Source organism: Homo sapiens, chromosome 12 (genome assembly GCF_000001405.40).
Source record: "Homo sapiens chromosome 12, GRCh38.p14 Primary Assembly".
In the NCBI taxonomy this organism is placed as follows: Eukaryota; Metazoa; Chordata; class Mammalia; order Primates; family Hominidae; genus Homo; species Homo sapiens.
The window spans coordinates 9,764,653-9,786,497 of NC_000012.12; the positions used below are offsets into that span (position 1 = coordinate 9,764,653).

General features: G+C 36.7%; 1 annotated feature.

Annotated features, from left to right (window-relative positions):
- Positions 8–527: a transcriptional cis regulatory region, noted in NCBI's record as "candidate enhancer chr12.528 targeted for multiplex CRISPR interference". NCBI's record gives its function as "positively regulates CD69 gene expression with high confidence in K562 cells {active_cell/tissue: K562}" and the evidence as "EXISTENCE:mutant phenotype evidence [ECO:0000015][PMID:30612741]".

Below are 21,845 nucleotides of genomic sequence, written 5' to 3' on the forward strand. Positions count from 1 at the left end.
TTATGTGTCTTCTTTCATAAATGATATGTTAAAAAATTAAGTGATATTTTTAGGGCAGAAATTATCATTCACATTTCATCGTGTAGCTGAGAAAATAGTATAGCCGAGGCTTAGAGAAATTAGTGCGGGGACAAGGTTGGCAAAAGTCTTTCAGGACACCAAAACTCAATGCAGCTTTCCTTCCTGTGTGACCTTATATGTAGAATCCAGGGTGAGACGTCAGAAAGGAAGTAAAGATGAGGTAATATGAGCTAGATGCAAAGTGTGCAGAGAAGGTGGGGTACTCTGTGCTTATCAGACAGCTGCAGCAGCAGGATGCTTTTGGGTACATGTGAACAGGGACCACAGACTTCCGACCTAAGACAATTTCCGGAGACAAACTGCTCATCTCTCTTTTTTTTTTTTTCCTTTCAGTGGGTGAATTAGGTTTCTGAATGGCTTTTAATCTTCTTGTGAATCAAAACTTCAATTTAGAATACATCATCCTCTCTCAAATTAATGCAAATTACACAAATTGGTAAAATTTATTTTTAACCTGCAGGTGCCTTTGTGTTTTTGAATTGTTTACCGTAAAGGGTCAATGAAGGTAACCATGAGTAAACGGGGGATTTCCAGTTTTAAACACTTTCCAACCTTCTGTCCTCTTCAAGTCTTTGAACTTTCTAACTTTCCTCTTCAATGGAACATCTGAAACACAAAAAATGAGCTTGGAAAGTGTGAGCTGGCATTTTCTTCTTTTTGACTTGAGACAGTGAAGGTAAAAGATAGTGCTTGTGTACACACAAGCTTGGACTCTGAAAAACCTGACTGTTTCTGAAAGTAAAATACATAAGAGAATAAAAGAAGAGCTATATTAAAGATGAGATATAACGCTTAACCATGTCTGAGTACTTTACCTAAATTAATTCCAGACTTATCCATATACAACATTTTTGGAGACTACTCTCAAAGATAATGGTGTGAAAATAGCAAATGTACCATATAGAATTTTAAGGTAGGCCGGGGTCTGGGCTACTATGCTATCATAAAATGTATCCAATTGTACTTGGATCTTGTTTGATAGATGCATAATGAATTTGAACAGAACTGCTTATCCCACTTCCTGTGGATCTGTGTGCACCTAACATACCTAGGAAATGCCTCCAGGTGGATGACATTCTGGGACTTTTATCTTAAAAGGGAATTCACAAGAAAGTATGAGAGAGGTGAAAGTAGGCATGAAAAATTATAATAGTATATTATGAATATTTTTTGGCTATAATATATTTGACAACATAAGTAAAATGAACATATTCTAGACAGACGTCTCTTCCAAAACTGAAGCAAGACAAAAATAAAGAATTAAATATTCTGTAACTATTAAGTTAATTGAATCCATAATTAAATACGCTCTTTTTGGGAAAGAATAAAACAAAACAACAACAGAAACAACAAAAACCCCATGTCTAGATGGTTTTATGTTCTAAAATAACGAACATTTAAAAAAGAAATAGCAAATTACAATTTATTTGAAAGACTATAAGATCAGATCAAGAAAACACTGCAATCAAAACTTGACCTATTCTTACTTATAAGAACAGATGGCAAACAAATTAAAAATAAATTTAAAAAATTGTACTCAGCAATATATAAAAAATAATACACCACAGCAAAACTTGGTTTATTGCAGGAATCTAATGTTGATTTCTCATTTGAAAACCAATCAACACAACTTGCCACATTGACAAATTAAGAGGAAATGATACCTCAGAAGATAAATAATATTTTATAACTTTAATCATGAATCAATAATAAAAGTCTATAGCACACTAAGAATCAATGAACTGCATTACTCTATAGGTTATAGATTATAGAAAAGGGTATCCATAAAATACATCATACTTAATGATGACCAATTGAGAATGCTTCTTGTGAAATCAGAAATGAGATTAGATGCCCAGTATCCCCATTTTAAAGATAATATTTCTTGATGTAACATGCAGTAAAGTTAAATAAATAAATAAAAAAAATATATAATGATTGGGGAGAAGGGTCGAAATATTTTTTACTTATTGTTTTTAAAATTTTGAAATAATTATAGATTCACATAAAGCTCCCTTTAGGCTTTTAAGCTTTTTTTTGTTTTTTTTTTTGTTTTTTTTTTTTGAGACGGAGTCTCGCTCTGTCGCCCAGGCTGGAGTGCAGTGGCAAGATCCTTGCTCACTGCAATATCTGCCTCCCGGGTTCAAGCGATTCTCCTGCTTCAGCCTCCAGAGTAGCTGGGATTGCAGGTTACTGTCACTATGCCCAGCTAATTTTCTATTTTTGGTGGATATGAGGTTTCAGCATGTTGGCCAGGCTGGTCTTGAACTCCTGACCTCAAATGATCCGCCCTCCTCGACCTCCCAAAGTGCTGGGATTACAGGCGTGAGCCACTGCACTAGGCCCCTTTAAGCTTTCATCCACTTCTCTCAATACCAACATCTTACAAAACTAAGGTGCAATATCACAACCAGGATATTGACGCTGACACAGTTAAGATACAGAATAAATCCATCACCACATGAATCTTTCTGTTGTCCTTTAGAGTTAAACCCATTTCCCATTTCCCTCCACAAGCCCTGGTTTATTAAGAAATTGCCCAGCTCTGTTCCAGAGTGGCTGTTCCTTTTTACAGTGCCATCAACAATACACGAGTGATTCAGTTTCTCCGCATCTTTGCCAGCATTTGATGTCGCCACTCTGTTTTTAAAATTTCAGCCATTCTGATAGGTGTGCAGTGATATCTCCCTGTGGTTTTCATTTGCATTTCCCTAATGGCTAATGATGTTGAATATCTTTTTGTGTGCTTAGTTGCTGCTTGTATGTCCTCTAGTGAAATATCTGTATCTTTTGCCTGTTCTAATTGATTTGTTTGTGGTTTTACTGCTGTTTTTGAAACAATCAATATGAAATTTGAACCCATATTTTCAACTGTTGTTTCACATACAGCTTGTGCCTGTGGATGTCATCGTTGCCATATTTCTATATAAGATTCTGCCCCCACACTAAAATAAAATAAACTAGAATTGTATTATGCAGGACTACTAACAGAAACACTGTAATAGATTTTTAATTAATCTCTAATAAAATCAAGAATATTTTAAAAACTCTAATGTTTAAAGTTAATATATAAAGTGTGAATAATTTTTGAAAGGTCTCACATAAACACAATTCACTAGTTAGAACAGAAGTGAACTGTACTTACAGGGAATTTTTAATTACGTGACATCAAAACAGCTAACAATCTCTGCTATGGTCTCTGCTATTGTATTAAGACAAATACAATGAAGACAGTTAAATAAAAGAGGCAAAGCCAATCAAATGTGAGTTGCATTAATGCAGGTGAAACCTTTTGTTCTTCCTTTAATCTTCTCAACATTAAAAGCTCTTCTGGAACTAAAAACCCAATGATAAAGTTATAGGGTTCTTTGTACAGCTTAAGAAAAAAGCATATTCACTTCTGTAAGTAAAATAATTGTCCAGTACTAATAGAACAAGTACAGCAGAAGCTCTACTCTAGAGAATTGGACTGTGCACAGTTGTTTTTATCTACATAAACTTATGGCACTGGGAAATTTATTCTGGGTAATTCAACTATATAGAATTATCCCCTATCTGTAGTGAACAGTGCTTCAATCGTCTTAAACACTAATATGCCATTAATTAATCAGTAAGTAGGTACACTGCACAATTTTTTTATTGCTTACAAGATTCTGAACAGTGTAGTGGATGCACTGTAGAGGACAAAGAGAAATGTATGACCTGGTTCTATTCCTCAAAGTCCTAACAACCTAGATAGAATAAATAAGCCCACAAAGTTAAATACAATAGAAATCAAAATAATACATAGGACAATGATAAAAATATATGATATTGTCATACTGGATTGTTGCCAAATGAAAAGTTTAGGTTAAAAAATCTATAGGAAGAAAATAAATTTGTTCAGGCTGCAGTGGCAGGAGACATTTCCCAGAAGAGTAAGAGGAAATGGGTAGAAACTGAAGACAGAAATAAGTTAATACATTATATCATAGCAGTATTCTAAATGTGAGACAATTAATTGAATATAAAGAAGAATGTGTATGTGCAAAACACTGAAAAGAGCTAGTGAAATGATTCTGATAACAGAAAATGTGAAGGTGATAAAGAGGAAATAGCTAAAGATGACTGAAGTACTCAGAGTAAAAAAAAAAAAAGTATTCCTTAACTAGCTAATATTTTCATAGGTTGTATTAACCAAAATAAATTTATGCTTTCCAGTTTTTCCAAATGTGATACATAAATTATTCCCAAGCATAGATGCAACTACATCTTCATCATCCTTTAACAGGTATACAATTTATGCACCTATTATTTTATTTTCCATGCCAATACCGTATATTCTCTTCTGATCAGCTGTCAAAATACTGCCCCACCTGTTGCACATGTTAATTAAATGCTTATTTTTTTCTATTAAAAGGATTCTACTTATATGCTTCCTCACAATCTTCTCTCTTACTAATATTCATCAGAAATCTTCATTGAAAAATAATGAAGTGTTTGGCTGGTCTTATAAAATGAATTTGTCGGTGTTTCCATACCTACTATTTTTCTGAAAAGGTTTGTATGTGTTTGTTATTATTATTGCTCTGAATGTTTAAAAGAGGTGACTTGTGAAATCATCTGGACCTGGAGGTACTTTTCGTTGTTTATTTTGCTTTTTAAAAAAGTTTTTTTTTTTTTTTAATGGCAACTTCGGTTTTTTAATAGATGTGAGGCTGTTTTCTGTTTCTCCTTGTGACAGTATTATTGAGTAGTACTTCCAAGTGTTTGGTTGTGTAAGTTGTTAAATTTATTGGTTTATTGTCTGCTTTCATTATCCTTTTAATGTCTACACAATAGGTAGTAACAGTTCCTCTTTCATTTCTGATATTGAGAATTTGTAGTCTCTCTATTTCAATCTCTTTCTTCTATTAGCCTAGCTTGGAAATCGTCCAGTATTTTTAAAGAAATAGTCTTTTAATTTGTTACTTTTCTCTCTGCTTTCAGTTTTTTCGTTTTTGTGCTCTTATCTTTATTATTAGCTTATTTCTACTTTCTTAGGATTAAATTTGTATTTTTTTAGTTTTTAAGGGTAACTTTAGGTTATTGATTATAGAATTATTTTCTTTTATAATTAATTATATGCAAAGCAGAGATTAGCAAACTATGGCCTATGGGCCAAATTCCTCCTGTTACTTCTTTTAGTAAATAAAATTTTATTGGAATACAGCCATGCCCACTTGCTTTCATATTGTCTATTGCTGTTTTGGGGCTAGAAGATCAAAAAGGAGTTTTGTGATAAAGGTTTTATGTTCTGCAAAACCTAAAATATTTACTCTCCCGCTCTTTACTATACACACAAAAAAAATGTATGGATGGCTGATTTAAAGCCAGAACATTCACTCCAAAACTGTTATAAACCTCTTCCCCTAATTTTGGTTGTTACGTTTTTATTATTGTTCAAGTGAGAATATTTTCTAATTTCCTTATAATTTCACACTTGCATTATCTAGAAAAGACTTGCTTAATTTGCAAATAAGTGTTTTTTCCATTTTGGTCAGAGAACACACTGAGGTTTATTTATAGCTAAGTACATGGTTTATCTCAAATGCATGTGCCATGCACATTCAGAAAAAAAGGGGCAGTCTGAAGTTGTTGGGTGTATTGCTCTGTAAACATAAATTAGACCAAGATGATTGATGGTGTTGTTCAAACCTTCTATATCTTTACTGATATTTTGGTCTGGTTATTCTATAAATTATTCATAGAGGAATGTTAAAATACCCTTTGGTTATAGAATTGTCTATTTCTTCATTAAAATCTGTCAAAAATTCTTTAATAGATTTTGAGGCTATGTTATTAAACATATTCATATTTAAAATGTTTCTGACTGATGCATTGCCCTTTTAGATTCTGCAATATTTTCTGAATATATATTCAAAATATATTGATATTTTTGTTTTAGCGCCCAATGACCCATTAAACTCACACTAGAGCTCTCTTAACTTCTGTGGATGGTGGTTGTGATGGTTAATCTTATGGGTCAACATGACTGCATCATGCAGTGCCCAGATATTTGGCCAAACATTATTTGTGGGTGTGTCTGCAAGGGTGTTTCTAGACGAAATTAACCTGTAAATCTGGATTTGGTAAAGTTGTTTGCCTCCCCAGTGTGAATGGGCATTATTTAATCTACTGAGGGCCTGAATAGAAAAAAAAAAAGGTTAAGGAAGGCAGAATTCAGGCCTTCCTGCCTGATTGCTTGAACTAGAATATTAATCTTCTGTTTCCCTTAGCTTCCCTGGTTCTTGGGCCTTCAGATTTGAACTGAATTACACCATTGGCTTTCCTGCGTCTTCAGAAAATGGCATGTAAGTATAAATTTATTAGTTTGCATTCTTTCCACTAATGGTCAGAAAATGGTGGTGTCTGTTCCAAGAATCACATGCAGACACAAGAGCAACCAGAGAGGGAGCAGTAAATAACTGTATATAACAGAACCAATAAGATTATGTATCTATCTATCTATCTTCTATCTAAGATAGATATATATAAGATATGTGTATATATTTTAGTAAATGAAGTTTTATCATATATATATAACTTCATTTACTAAAAGAGGTGACGGGAGGAATTTGGCCCACAGTTTAAAATTTAAACTATGCTTAAGAACAGCTTATATAAATACATACATATATATATATATATATATATGTAATATATAGTGAACCCTGACCAATACAGTGGTACATATCTCATTTCATTTTTTTAGCTTTTGTTGCATTGCAGGGAGACTGTCCCCTGTCCTGCACATGCCTGTTTCAGGGGCCAGCCTGGATATTTTACAACATTTGAACCCATTCTCTGGCTCTTTTCTTTCTGGGATTCTTATCTCTTTCTGTGGTAACTACTATATTAGTCAGGGTTCTCCAAAGAAACAGAACCAATAGGATAGATAGATAGATAGATAGATAGATAGATAGATAGATAGATAGAATTTATATTTATCTTTTATGACACATAAAATTAACCATCACACTACCATTTTCTTTATTCTTTTGTGTTATCTTTTATGAAAATGTTTTTTTCAAATCTTCACCCCAGATTTTGCCCATTGAACTTCCTTACCAAATGTATACTAAAGCCAATCTTTTCACATGTATCTCCCAGGCAGTGAATTAGCTTGGAAGGACACTGAGGTAGCTCTGTTCCTAGATGTGGAATTCCTCTGGCAGGCAACCTTGATGTGATGATTCCCTACCAGTCTTGACAAACATTTTTAGAACTGCACTACATTCTAAGGCTTGTACACTCAACCTCTTTTCCTTCCTTCTTTTCCTCACATGGTATAATATGAAAGCTCTACCATCCTTTTCTGGAGTCTTCTCAATTTTTGTCAACTGTATTTTCTCTAACAAATATGTTGCATGTCTAATTCTTTATTGAAGTCTGCTTCTCAGGGGACCCAAAGTAACACACTTTGTCTGGTACGTATAGTTAGAAAAATTGTAGAGTTTTTATCGGAAATTGATCACTCATAACCAAACATCTTGCAGTATGCCTGGAGGCAGAGCCGTAATATCACTGGGAAACTCATCTTCATGCTGATAATTTCTCCAAGGTGTGATTATTTTCCACATACAACTATTCTAATTGCTCTTATAGGTCTTTAGATTACTTGGGTTCTTTTTTTTTTTTGTATTTTGTCTGGATGACATATTTCTAATCAGTAATTGTGTGGGTCCGTGTGTGTGTTTGTTGGGGCAAAGGGGAATATAGGTAACACTACCACATGGAGGCAGAAATTTACTCATCGTTTCTTAATGTTCAACTTGTTACTTCTTAGACACTAAGATTCCTCTTTAGGCTGGTTCCATATCTTTTCACTCATCATCTTTAATATCTTTACTTTTCTTTGCATTTGAATAATAAGAATGACTTCAGCTGTAAAAACCAAATACTTCTGTGTCAGTTGACTAAAACAATAAAGAATCACAATCACTTAAAACAAGAAAGTCAGAAGGGGTCTCTACAATTATGATGCACGTGGATGTGCATACCAGATAATTGACTCAACGTGATTTAAACGTTATTATCTCGTTGCAGGTTGAGAGGTGGTGATTTCAGCAGTTCAAGAACCCAGGAGTTATCTTTCTATTTTGCTATTCTTATTAGTTGGCATCATTTCTCCTAACGATTACAAAATGGCTGTGTCTGTTCTAAGAATCACAGGCAGACACAAGAACAACCAGTAAGGAAGACATAAATAACTGTATATAACTCATCTTCTAATTGTTAGAGTATTTTCCTTCAGGTTCTTCACACATGAACCAGAACCTTTAGCAATCTCAATGTCCTAGCCTAGATACAGCACGTCTCCAAGAAAGCTTGTTCCAGAGAATCTATCCAATTCCTCTTTATCAAGGGCTGTCAAGTATAGAATAATCAAATTCAAATTCTCTTAATTATTCAATTTTTTCAATCGTAAAATGAGACAACATGTGTACTTTCACATAAAATTGTTGCAAAAACTTAATGAGCTCACACTTCAAAAACACTTAATGTAATATATGGTTGAAAGTTGGTGCTCAGCCAACATTAGCTACAAATGCTAGCCTTACTGGCCTTTTATAACCCAGTTGCTAGCATAGAATTGATATCACCATGGTTATCTGGACCAGTTAGGATTCGTCTTCTGAGTTACAGGATGGAATCTACTGCTCTTGAAACACCAGGACCACATGAAAAATGATGAGCATCTAAATAGTCTCCATTTTCCAGTAGGAAAGGTGAAAGAAATAATAGCATGCTGGCTATGAAATCAACACAGTCTGCAACAATTATGGCAAAATATTTGCCAAAAAGAAATCTTTGTTACCGATCTTCATATTCAAGCTCTGGAACTTTATGTCCCTAACTCACATTTGTCTTAATCTCCTAACAGGAAATTTTAAAACCACATCAGATAACTTGAAACTTAAAAAAAAAAAAAAAAAAAAAAGTGCTATTGTCCAAACACCATAGACAGGTTTTCTATGAAGTAAAGTTTAGAGAAGTGGGTGGGGAATAGCAGAATCAGATAAAAAGGAAACAAAATAGAACCAGCACACATCAGTAGCAACAGCTTCAAATGGAGAAGGCCTAAGAGATATATATTCTGGTTGCAAGTTGTAGAGACCCAGGCTAGAAATCATAAAGGAATGTGATTTGAAAATTGACTGCTACTAATGCATAAAATTAGATAAGTAATTGCATTTCACTGAATTGCACCAATTCATTCAATATTCAACCAATATTTAATGCACACTTACGTTGTTCCAAACACTGAAATAAGTATGTGCTAAAGATCCAGTATTGAGCAAAACAATTATAGCCATTTTTTTAGGGAGTGTGCCGTCTAGCAAAGAGGACACACAATGAGTAATTCAGTCTTCTCTCCTTTTTTTCTTGGTCATTCTAGTCAAAGTTTTATCCATTTTGTTAATCTTTAAAAGTAGTAACTTCTGATATCACTGATTCTTTTTATTGCTTTTCTATTCTGTATTTTGCTTATTTTCTCTTAAATTTTCATTACTTTCTTTCCTCTTGCTTTTGGTTTAGTTTGCTCTTCTTTTTTCAGTTTTCTTAAGGTGGAAGTTTAGATTATTGATTTTGTTACTGGTGGTGAATCTCTACAGGTTTGCAGCAACCTCAGTTTTTGCCTCCTCAGAAGAAAGAATTTGACCAAGGGGCATAAGGCAGAAGGAGAGACCAGGACAAATTTTAGAGCAGGAGTGAAAGTTTATTAAAAAGTTTTAGGACAGGAATGAAAAGAAGTAAAGTACACTTGGAAAAGGGCCCAGCAGGCAACTGGAGAGATCAAGCGAACTGTTTGACTTTGACTTAGGGTTTTATACATTGTTTGACTTTGACTTAGGGCTTTATACATTGGCATACTTCCAGGGTCTTGTGTCCCTTCTCCCCTGATTCTTCCCTTGGGCTGGGCTGTCCGCATGTGTACTGGCCTGCTAGCACTTGGGAGGGGAGCATACGCAGTGTGTTTACTGGAGTTGTATGCATGCACCTTGAGGCATTCTTCCTTTACCAGTTGAATGCCCCTAGAAGCCCATATACCAGTTAAGCTCTGCCATTTTGCCACTTAGTGTGCATGTTTGAGCCCACTCGCCCAACACCTGAGATCTTATTGGGACGCTAATCAGCAGTTTCAGGTTTTTCTATCTATTGGGAGACTGCCTTTCCCTAGGGCCAACTGCAACCAATTATTATTTTGGAACGAGAGCGTAACAACTAGCTGACCATCACCTGACATTCCTGGTGGGTGGAGGACCTCTCCCACCCTTCTCATGTCTGCTTGATCACCTACCGTAACAATCTGAGATCTTTCTTTAAATGTAGGTGTTTATTGCAGTATGTTTTCTTCTGAGCACTGTTTTCACTGCATCCTATAAATTTTGATATGTTTTGTTTATTGTCATACAATCCAAAGTCTAATTTCCCAGGTGATTCCTTCTGTGACCCATTGGTTATTTAGAAGTTTGCTGTTTAATTTTCACATATATATGAATTTGCCAAATTTGTTTCTCTTACTGATTTCTATTTTCATTTTCATTGTGATCAGAGAACATACTCTGCATGATCTCCATCATTTTAAATTAAGACATTTTTAAACTTGTTGTGAGCTAACATACGGTTAACCTGGAAGATTTTCCATATCCACTTAAAAGAAATGTGTTTTTGCCTGTTAAGTGTCCTATAGATGTCTGTTAAGTAATTGATTTGTAGCGTTATTCAGGTCTTCTATTTCCTTGTTGATCTTGTGAAAAGAAAGTCTCAAGACTCCAAACCCACTATGCCAAAGGGAAAATTAAGTACAGGAACTGAGTCATGCAAAAACTGCCTTCCTTTTGTTACCAAACCAATAGCTGTAATTTCCCATGCTTACTTTATCTTATGTGAAATGTAGATTTACTGAGTGTAAAAGGAATGCATAATTGATTGTTCCTCTATTACCTCTCTTACTTATAAAATGTGGATCGAATGAGTGCTAACCAAGGCCTCACAAGAATGTAACCACTTGCTTCATTGCTTCATTGCTTACCCTCCTCTGCTTTTTTTTTTTTTTTTTTGGAGACAGAGTCTCGCTCTGTCACCCAGGCGGGAGTGCAGTTGCGTGATCTCGGCTCACTGCAAGCTCCGCCTCCCAGGTTCACGCCATTCTCCTGCTCAGCTTCCCAAGTAGCTGGGACTACAGGCGCCCGCCATCACGCCCGGCTAATTTTTTGTATTTTTAATAGAAACGGGGTTTCACCGTGTTAGCCAGGATGGTCTCGATCTCCTGACCTCGTGATCCCCCCGCCTCAGCCTCCCAAAGTGCTGGGATTACAGGCGTGAGCCACTGCACCTGGCCTTTTTTTTTTTTTTTTAAACTCTCCTCTTTCCCCTCCTGCTCTCTTTTCCTCCTTTAAATATTGAAGTCCTCCAAACCTTCTTTGGAAGAAGCACATGTCACAGATCTTACTGTAACTTGTGTTTCTTTTTCCCAGAAGCATCCTCGACCTTGGCAAAATAAACCTCAAAACTGATTGAGACTTGCCTCAGTCATTTAAAAAAATTTTTTTGCTTTACATTTTCATAAACATGAGGGGATTCTGAGTGGAGTTTGGCCCTCGACCTGTGGCAACTCTCTTATTGGTGCCTGGTACTGGGGTGGGCTATCTTCATTGCTTTGATAGGAAAATATGCTGAAGTCTGGGGGCTTCTCCCTCTAGAGATCCCTGGTCTCCCAAAGGTTTTCGTTGCAATCTGAGGTTTATTTCTGCTGTAGGACTCCTTTTGGGATTTTTTCTGCTTCTGTGGTGACAGAAAGCAGTCTTCAGCATGGGTTCCATCTGCAGGTAAAGAGATGGTTTGGGGTTTCGTTTTGGGATTTGGTAGCTGAAGGACAAGATCTATTGTCAGCTAGTGATAACTTTTCCTTATGCTGAGAGATATTGACTATATGTAAATTGTGTGATCATTTTTTTTTTAATTTCTCTGGACCTTTTTTTATGGGGGGGGCGGTGGTTGATTCATCTTCTGTTAGATTTGACCAACTCCTGGCCATCTCTAATGTTGACTGAAACTCCCACAGCTGCAGAAAGTCAAATTTCCACCTCTAAAAAACCTGGTTGGTTAAGAAAGATAAAAAATTTGACTACCTGAGAATTTCATCTACGTAACAAAGTCTCTGTTGCTAGCCAAGCTCCTGCCTTTCTTTCCCTCATAACCTGTGTTGTCACTAAATCTGACTTAGCAACATAACCTGGTTTTGGCCACGCCCTGATTCTGCATTCTTTACTGTGGCTTTTTAATCTTATTGTTGGGACCGTCTTCATTCTGAAGTCTCTTTATATACAGATTAAATAAATTTGTATGCCTTTTCTCCTATTAATTAATGTGCCTCATGCCACTGATTTTTAAGCAAAACTTTAGTGGGCCAATGGCCATGGCCCCCGTGATAGTGCAGTAAAAAGGACTCAAAGCTGTTCTTCGCTTCTAGAAGCTGCTGAGAAGAGAACCCAGTAACCTGATCTGTTGGCAAAGGGGTAAAAGTTTCTTACCCACCAGGCTCCTGGACTCTGTGCACTCTGGTGGGCAGATGGTAAAAATCACTGTCTCCTCTGGAAGGTTTTGTTTAATGAGAAAAAAGGATTTGTGTGACGGCTCTTGGGTTGTAGTGACCCTGGTGCACTTTTGGTACTTTTTGTAGCATCTGAACTTTAAAGAGGCATTTGGATTGAGGCATTTGGATTGAGTCACTGTTGGACCTGAGTATGCCACTGAAAATAAAACAAGATTTCAGAGATCTCTTATTCTAAACAATTAATGAAAAGGTTAAATTGAAATAGGATACAAAGTGATGTCATGGCTAGCCTTGAGACTTCTGTGACCTAAAAGTTAAAATCCTTTGCAAGCTCAGAACTCTGCTTGATCTGGTATTCTTCTGGGAAGAACAACAAAGACCACCGCATGCTGTAGTCCAACAGCTAAGGCTCTGTGCTTCCACCACAGTGGCTTGGCTTCAATTCCCAGCCAGAGTATGAGTCTTCTTTGGTTTGATATATGTGTGACTTTTGTAATTTTTTTTTTTAGAAAAATTTCCATTTTAGGTTCAGCAGTACATGTGCAAGTTTTTTATATAGGTAAATTGTGTGTCATGGGGGTTTGGTGTACAGATTATGTTGTCACCCGAGTAATAAGTATAGTACCCAATAGGTAGTTTTTTGATCCTCACCCCTTCCCACACTCCACCCTCAAGTAGCCCTGGTATCTATCATTTCCTTCTTTGTGTTGTCCATGTATAATCGATATTTTAGCTCCCACTTATAATTGAGAATGTGCAGTATTTGATTTCTGTTATTGTGTTAATTTGCATAGGATAATAGCCTCCAGTTCCATCCATATTGCTGCAAAGAACATGATCTCATTCTCTTTTATGGTTGCGTAGTATTCCATGGTGTATATGTACCACATTTTATTTATTCAGCCTACCATTGATGGGCATTTAGGTTGATTCCATGTCTTTGCTATTGTGAATTGTGCTGTGATGAACATATGTGTGCATGTGTCTCTATGATAGAATGATTTATATTCCTTTGGTTATATAGCCAGTGTGATGGCTAATATTGAGTGTCAACTTGATTGGATTGAAGGATGCAAAGTATTGTTACTGGGTGTGTCTGTGAGGGTGTTGCAAAATGAGATTAACATTTGAGTCAGTGGACTGAGAGAGGCAGACCCACTCTCAATCTGGGCGGGCACCATCTAATGAGCAGCCAGCACAGCTAAAATAAAGCAGGCAGAAGAAGATGGAAGGACTTGACTTGCTGAGTCTTCCGGCCTTCATCTTCCTCCTGTGCTGGATGCTTCCTGCCCTCAACATCAGACTCCAAGTTCTTCAGCTTTTGCACTCTTGGACTTAAACCAATGGTTTGCCAGGTGCTCTCAGGCCTTCAGCCACAGACTGAAGGCTGCACTGTCAGCTTCTCTACTTTTGAGGTTTTGAGACTCCATCCACGTTGGCCTCCAAAAATGCTGGGATTACAGGCATGAGCCACCATGCCTGGCCGTTGTTGAGCCTTTGTTGGCCTGAAGTTTTCCTTTGTTACGTCTCTGCCAGATTTTGGTATCAGAATGATACTGGCCTCATAAAATGAGTAAGGGAGGAGCTCCTCCTTTTAAATTTTTTGGCATACTTTCAGTAGGAATGGTAGCAGCTCTTCTTTATATATCTGATAGAGTTCGGCTGTGAATCCGTATAGTCCTGGGCTTTTTCTCGTTGATAGGCTTTTTATTACTGGATCAGTTTTGGAACTCATTATTGTTCTGTTCAGGGACTCAGTTTCTTTCTGGTTCAGTCTTGTGAGATTGTATGTTTCCTGGAATTTATTCATTTCCTCTAGGTTTTCTAGTTTGTATGCATGGATGTGTTCATAGTAGTCTCTGAGTTTTTTTTTTTTTTTTTAATTTCAGTGGAGTCACTGGTAATGTCCCCTAAGTCATTTGATTATTTAGATCTTCTCTCTTGGTTGTTTATTAGTCTAGCTAGTGGTCTATTAATCTTATTTATTCTTTAAAAGAAACAACTCGTGGATTTGTTGATTTTTGTATGCTGTTTCAGGTTTCAATTTCCTTCAGTTTCACTTCCAGATTTTCTTTGATTTTTGGTTATTTCTTGTCTACTGCTAACTTTGGGGATGGTTTGCTATTGTTTATCTAGTTCCTCCAGTTGTGTTGGTACGTTGTTAATTTGAGATCTTTCTAACTTTTTCATGGTGTTTAGTGCTACAACCTTCTCTTTTAAAACTGCCTTAGCTGTGTCCCAGAGATTATGGTATGTCGTATCGTTGTTCTCATTAATTTCATAGAATTTCTTGATGTTTACCTTAATTTCATTATTTACCCAAAAGTTATCCAGGAGTAAGTTGTTTAATTTTCACGTAATTAGGTGGTTTTGAGCCATATTTTCTTGAGATTGATTTACATGTCTATTGTAGTGTGTTCCGAGAGCACGGTTTATATGATTTTGCTCTTTGGAGTTTATTGAGAATTGTTTTATGTTCAACTGTGTGGTTGATTTTAGAATATGCATGATGTGCAGATGAGAAGACTGTAAATTCTGTTGTTTTAGGAAGAGTGTTCTGTAGATATCTGTTAGGATCATTTGGTCAAGTGTTGAGTTTAGGTTCTAAATATCTTTGTTAGGTGTCTGCCTTAATGATTGGTCTAATACTGCCAGTAGGGTGTTGAAATCTTCCACTGTTATTGTATGGTAATCTAAGTCTCTTCATAGGTGTCTAAAAAGTTGCTGTATAAATCTGGGTGCTCCTGTTTGTGTGCGTATATATTTAGGATACTTAAGACTTCTCACTGAATCAAGCCCGTTAATATTATGTAATGCACTTCTTTGTTTTCGTGCTTTTTAACAAAAATCTTTGTTACAAGATTTTTAACAAAAATTCTGGTTTAAAGTCTGTTTTGTCTGAAATTAGAAGAACAATCCTTTCTTTTTGCTATTTTCCAGTTGCTTGGTAGATTTTTCTCCATGCCTTTACTGTGACTATGGATGTCATTGTATGTGAGCTGGGCTTCTTGAAGACAGCATACTGTTGGGTCATGCTTCTTTATCCAACTTGCCATGCTGTGCCTTTTTAATTGGAGCATTTAGCCCATTTACACTTAGAGTTAGTATTGATTTGTTCAGATTTGTTCCTGTCATCATATTGTTAGCTGGTTGTTATGCAGACGTATTTGTGTGATTGCTTTATAGTGTCACTGGTCTATGTCCATAAGTGTGTTTTTTTAATGGCTGGTAAAAGTCTTTCTTTCCCATGTTTAGCACTCCCTTCAGGACCTCTTGTAAGGCAGGTCTGGTGATAATGAAATCCCTTAGCATATGTTTGTCTGAAAAGGCTCTTATTTCTCCTTTGCTTATGAGGCTTGGTTAAATATGAAAATCTTGGTTGGAAATTGTTTTCTTCAAGATTGCTGAATATAGTGCCCCATTCTCTTCTGACTTGTAGGGTTTATGCTGAAAGATCTACTGTTAGGCTGATGGGGTTCCCTTTCTAGGTGACCTGCCCCTTCTCTCTAGCTGGCTTTAATATTTTTTCTTTCATTTCAACCTTGGAGAATCTAATGACTATGTGTTGAGGGGACGGAATTCTTGTATATTATTTTACAGGGGTTCTCTACATCTCCTGAATTTGAATGTTGGGCTGTTTAGCAGGGTTCTGAAAATTTTCATAGGTGGTATCCTGAAACATATTTTCCAAGTTACTTGCTTTCTCTCCCTGTCTCTCAGGGTCACCAGTGAGTTGTAGATCTGGTCTCTTTACACAATCCCAGATTTCTTGGAGACATTGTTTACTCTTTTTATTGTTTTTCCTGTATTTTGTCTGACTGAGTTATTCCAGACAGCTGGTCCTCAAGCTCTGAAATTCTTTCCTCAGTTTGGTCAATTCTGCTATTAATACTTGCAATTTTATTTTAAAATTCTTGAAATGAGTTTTTCAGCACTATTAGCTCAGTTTGATGCTTTCTTATAATGGCCATTTCATCTTTCATCTCTTGTATTATTTTATTGTGTTCTTTTGAATCCTTGGATTGGGTTTTGACTTTCTCTTGATTGTCGATGACATTTGTTCCTATCCATATTCTAAATTATATGTCTGTCATTTTAGCCATTTCAGCCTAGTTAAAAACAATTGCTGGGGAACTAGTGCAGTCATTAGGAGGTAAGAAGACACTCTGGCTTTTTGAGTTGTTAGAGTTCTGGCACTGGCTCTTTCTCATCTGTGTGGGCTGAAGTTCCTTTGATATTTGAAGTTACTGTCGTTTGGATGGGTTTTTATTTTTTGTTTTGATCTTGTTTGATGTCATTGGAGGTTTGCTATGGTATAAAATGGGTGCAGTTGACTGACTTTGTTTCTGATAGATTTTTGGGGGGCCAAGATTCAGCTCAGCACTCCTGGGCTGTGCACTCTGGGAGGCTGGTATAGGGCTCCCAGCTTTGTTCTCTGGACCATCAAGGTTGGCAACCTGCTTCACTGAAGGGGATGAAGTGTTCTCAGACCACTGGCAACAAAATTTCAAAGGGTGGCCCCAGCCAATGGACTTTGTCAGGCAGTGGCAGCAGGATCCATGCTTGTTCACTCATGCCAGAAGCAATGGCATCACAGCATGGTGCATAATTTGGTGGCTGGGTAGGAGTGCTGGCAGGCCCAGGGCTGTCATCCTCCATGCAGGCATTGGCAGCAGCAGCAGTCTTGGTTTAGGGTGGGCGGGTGGGGACTCCGGCCTTCTTCTGTGCATTCATACCTGTGGTGGTGTTGGCACTGGGGGGGGGTGGGCACTGGTGGGCATATATATATACATATATACACACACACATATACACACACACACATATTATTTTAAATATATATGAGCTATATATATATTTAAAATATATATATTTAAAAATATTTTATGTTTTTTCTCTTTTTGAATCCTGTTTGGGGAATTTTTTTTTTTTTTTTAGTTGACTGTAACCTTTTTTTTTTGAGATGGACTCTTGCTCTGTCACCCAGGCTGGAGTGCAGTGGCGTGATCTCAGCTCACTGCAAGCTCCACCTCCCGGGTTCACGCCATTCTCCTGCCTCAGCCTCCCGAGTAGCTGGGACTACAGGTGCCTGCCACCGCACCCAGCTAATTTTTTGTATTTTTAGTAGAGGCAGGTTTTCACCATGTTAGCCAGGATGGTCTCGATCTCCTGACCTCATGATCGCCTGCCTTGGCCTCCCAAAGTGCTGGGATTACAGGCGTGAGCCACCATGCCTGGCCAACTGAAACCTTTTAAAATAAATGCTTGTGCATGGTTTCTCCATTCACTTCCTTTTCTTAAAAATTGTTCTTTTATTTACTTTTATTCCACAGTATTCGTCCTTCCCCTTGCTATAATAAACACCAAGTGAAAAGATGTACACAAGACTTCTAATGACTCAGACCCCTTAAAGAACTCAGAATAAAGGTGACACTTACCCCTTTTCTGGGGTTTTCTGGTTTCTTTGTGGAGTTTCAAGAGTCACAGTGATATGGCTCCAATGAGTGGAGGAACACCAGGGGTCTTATCTCATGTGACATGGACACACATGGAGTGGTTTTAAGGAGCAGAGAGTTTAAGAGGCAAGAAAGAAGGTAGAAGAAAGAAAGAAGAACCTCCCTTGTACAGAGACAGAGGGAGGGGGCTCCAAAGCCGAGAGAGGAGACCCTCATATGTAGTGGAAACTTGGCTGCTTATAGGAGGAGGTTGGAGGAGGTGGTGTCTGATTTCCATAGGGCTCAAGGGATTGGTTTGACTCAGTATGTCACTCATGTAACCCACGAAAAAACTGGCCCCCCTACCCTAGTCTTTTAATATGCAAATACAGGGCGCCATGATGTTCTACACACATGGGGAATATGTGGGGGGTGGCCAGGTTGCCAGGAACATGTGGGGCAAAGGCAAGAAGAAGGTGGTGGGAATCTCCACGTTTGGGTGGACCCAGTTTCTAATGGCCTGCATTTGCATATCAAAGGTTACCGCAGGGCTCTAAGAGTGGCCTTTCCTGCTCCACAAGAAACATTTCTGGAGGTGCTTTAAAAGAAACGAAAATTTTCCAAGGACCCCTTTTCCTTTCTCTCTGCCTGCAATAATTTCTTAGTAACTCCTAACACAATAGGTAGACATTTCTCAGGTCTAAAGCTCTGCATTTTTTTGCATTGTGGTACTTGATCTTTTCAGCTTTTGGGGGTACCAGAAATTGCTTTGCATTATAAGATAATTTGACCTTTGGTATTTATAATGGCTAAGAAATGGGCTGATTACAGAGTAGGCTGATTGGCTTTGGGTTGCCCCGAAGCCCTGGGGAAATATCCTTACAATGAGGTACATTGGGGGCATTACACTGTCTCATCCCTTAATGTTTCCTTCTTTTTCTGGTCCCAGGGTTCAATGTAAAAATGAGATTTTTTATTTTGCTGGATCTGTGTTTTGCCTTCCAGCTATAGCTGCTTCTCACGTTTTTTGTTTGTTTGTTTTGTTTTGTTTTTTGAGACAGCATCTTGCTCTGTCGCCAGGCTGGAGAGCAGTGGCGCGATCTCAGCTCACTGCAACCTCTGCCTCCCAGTTCAAGTGATTCTCCTGCCTCAGCCTCCCGAGCAGCTGGGATTACAGGCGCACGCCACCACGCCTGGCTAATTTTTTGTATTTTTTAGTAGAGACGGGGTTTCACCGTGTTAGCCAGGATGGTCTTGATCTCCTGACCTCGTGACACACCCGCCTCAGCCTCCCAAAGTGCTGGGATTACAGGCGTGAGCCACCGCGCCCGGCCTCACATATTTAAATATTAGGTCCTAAAGACTGCATGCTCTCTTTCCCATGTTTACTGAAGGGCTCCACCCTGAAACCAATAATCTAACTAAGAAACAAGACTAAGTTAAAAAGCCAAAATACAACTTTGTAGCATTAGCTGGCTATCCTAAAAAGAAATTTATGTCTTTAAGGAAATCTCTTGTAAGGGTGCTTACCTGTGTACATTAGGAACTTTTACCATTGTTTTAAATTTACAAATATGCTTTTGTTTAAGGTACCTTTTTTGGTTGTCTTAATTGAACTTTTACTTACAGCATTTTTTCCCTTTGGTTTGAACAAATGATGATGCAGTACTTAGGCTTAATTTCTTAGCCTTGTGATTTTAAAATACAAATTCTCTATCTTGTTTTACCAAAGTTGTGCCTTTAGAAATGCAAATTTAAGGTTGCCTAGCCAACAATTGCCTAAGGCAATAAGGCAGGTAATTGAAAGAAATTGACAGTCTAAAATGGGAGAAGCGAACTTAAAAAACTGGCGAATAATGAACTTATAAATCTACAAGATCTGCTTCTATGTCTGTATGTCTATGTGTTTATACATGTCATTTGAATGTGATGTTTTACTACCAAAATATATAAAAGAGCTCTAGTTAATTGGCTTTAAAATAATAAGCACTTAAATTAAATATTTTAACAGAAAGATAAAAATTTTAACTCAAAGACTTTTAGTTCACGTGACTTTACTAAACTTTAGTAAATAGAGATAATTTGCAAATTTTTGATAAAATAATCAGAATGTCTTCCATTGAATTTAGACGTTTCATTTGAATTATTCCAGCAGGTCAGATATTGTCTCTGCTAGATGCTTTAAGGGATAAAACTTTGCTTCTATTTCCCTGTAAATTTAGGTGTTTACATATAAGCCATTAGGGGCCATGGGGAAGTCTACCTTCAGGCATTGTCTTTTGTCCTGAGCTTTGCTCCTCGTACGTAATTAAAATTTCTAAACTTCTAGGTTTTTCACTAAAAATAAGAATTACTATGAGTTAACTGTATAATGTATGTACACAAAGCTAATGGATATAAAACATCTCTGTATATAAAGAGTATAAGGAAAGCAGGATGTGTTTGGTAAATAGAAGGGTTATAAGAAGGCATGGAAATACAGTTTTTGCTAAAGTGAAAGTAATTTTGTCTAATTTAGAAGTTTTAAGGATGTATTTCTTTATAAGATTTTATTAAAATTAGCTTTAGTGTTAATAATACACTATACATAGGTTTTCTCTTTTAAACAAGATTTCTGTGTAATATTTAGAGATAATAAAATATTTTTGTTTACCTTTTGAGTAAACTGCAAAAAAAATAAGAGTAAGGGGAGAGAAGACACAGATTCAGATGACTTCATGCCATCTTTATTAGCCTTTATTGTTTGGGAAAGATATTCTTCTATTACAGAGTAAGGGTTTTTGCTTTTTAAAATCTTTGAATTATCATTTTGGCTAAATGGATGACTTACTTTACAGAGATCTGTGCTCTTATTTTGTCATATCAAGCGTTTTAATGTTTGCTATTTGACAAACTTTCCAAAATCAAAATTTCAAGTTCTAAATTCAGTCTTTTTGACTTTATTAAGTTTTTTAGATACTAGGTTCCCTGAAGTCTGAAAAAAAGACATATTCGGATTATTTGATATGTTAAAAATCATAAAGAAAGCATTGTCAAATACGAAACAATGTTTTCCTTTCTTTGGGTTCTATTTATATAAATGTTACTAATATGTGTTCTATTATTGTATGAAGTTCCTATAATTCTGATACGTCTTAATATATAAGTAATAATTATTATTATGTTAAATTATTGTATGCCACAGAAATAACAAAATTTTCTTACCAGTTATGTCTTTAACTGTTACTCTCCTAAGACTGTCATCCACAGATATTGTTTTATTTCGATTCTTCTCAAAAAAACAGTTTATAATCTGCCATAGTCCAAAATTTCCTTCTTTAATAAAATTAATTGAAAGGAGTTCACCAGTACTCCTGAATACAGGTTTCTGATAACTTTGGAAATCATACCATTGGACTAAACAAATGAACAAACAAACAAAAAACATCTTCCAAGATTCTAAAAGGCTGATAGTGTTCATGAGAATTGCTAACTGAATATCAAGCAGAACAAGAGCTCTGGAGCCTGGTACCTTGTCTACACAGTTCCTTCACAGGATTCCTGACCTGTGATAAGTGAAAAAATGTTACTTTCTGACAGGCCCAGGAACCCCAAGTTATCTTGAGACTTCATGAAAAGAGAAATTCACTCAATCCCTACAGGCATCTTGCAGATATTCAAATCCTTGGCTAGGCTCAAAAGGCTTTAAAAAGTGTAACCTGAGATTTCTTATGTTAAAAAACGTTTCAGCAAAGCCATTTTAAAAG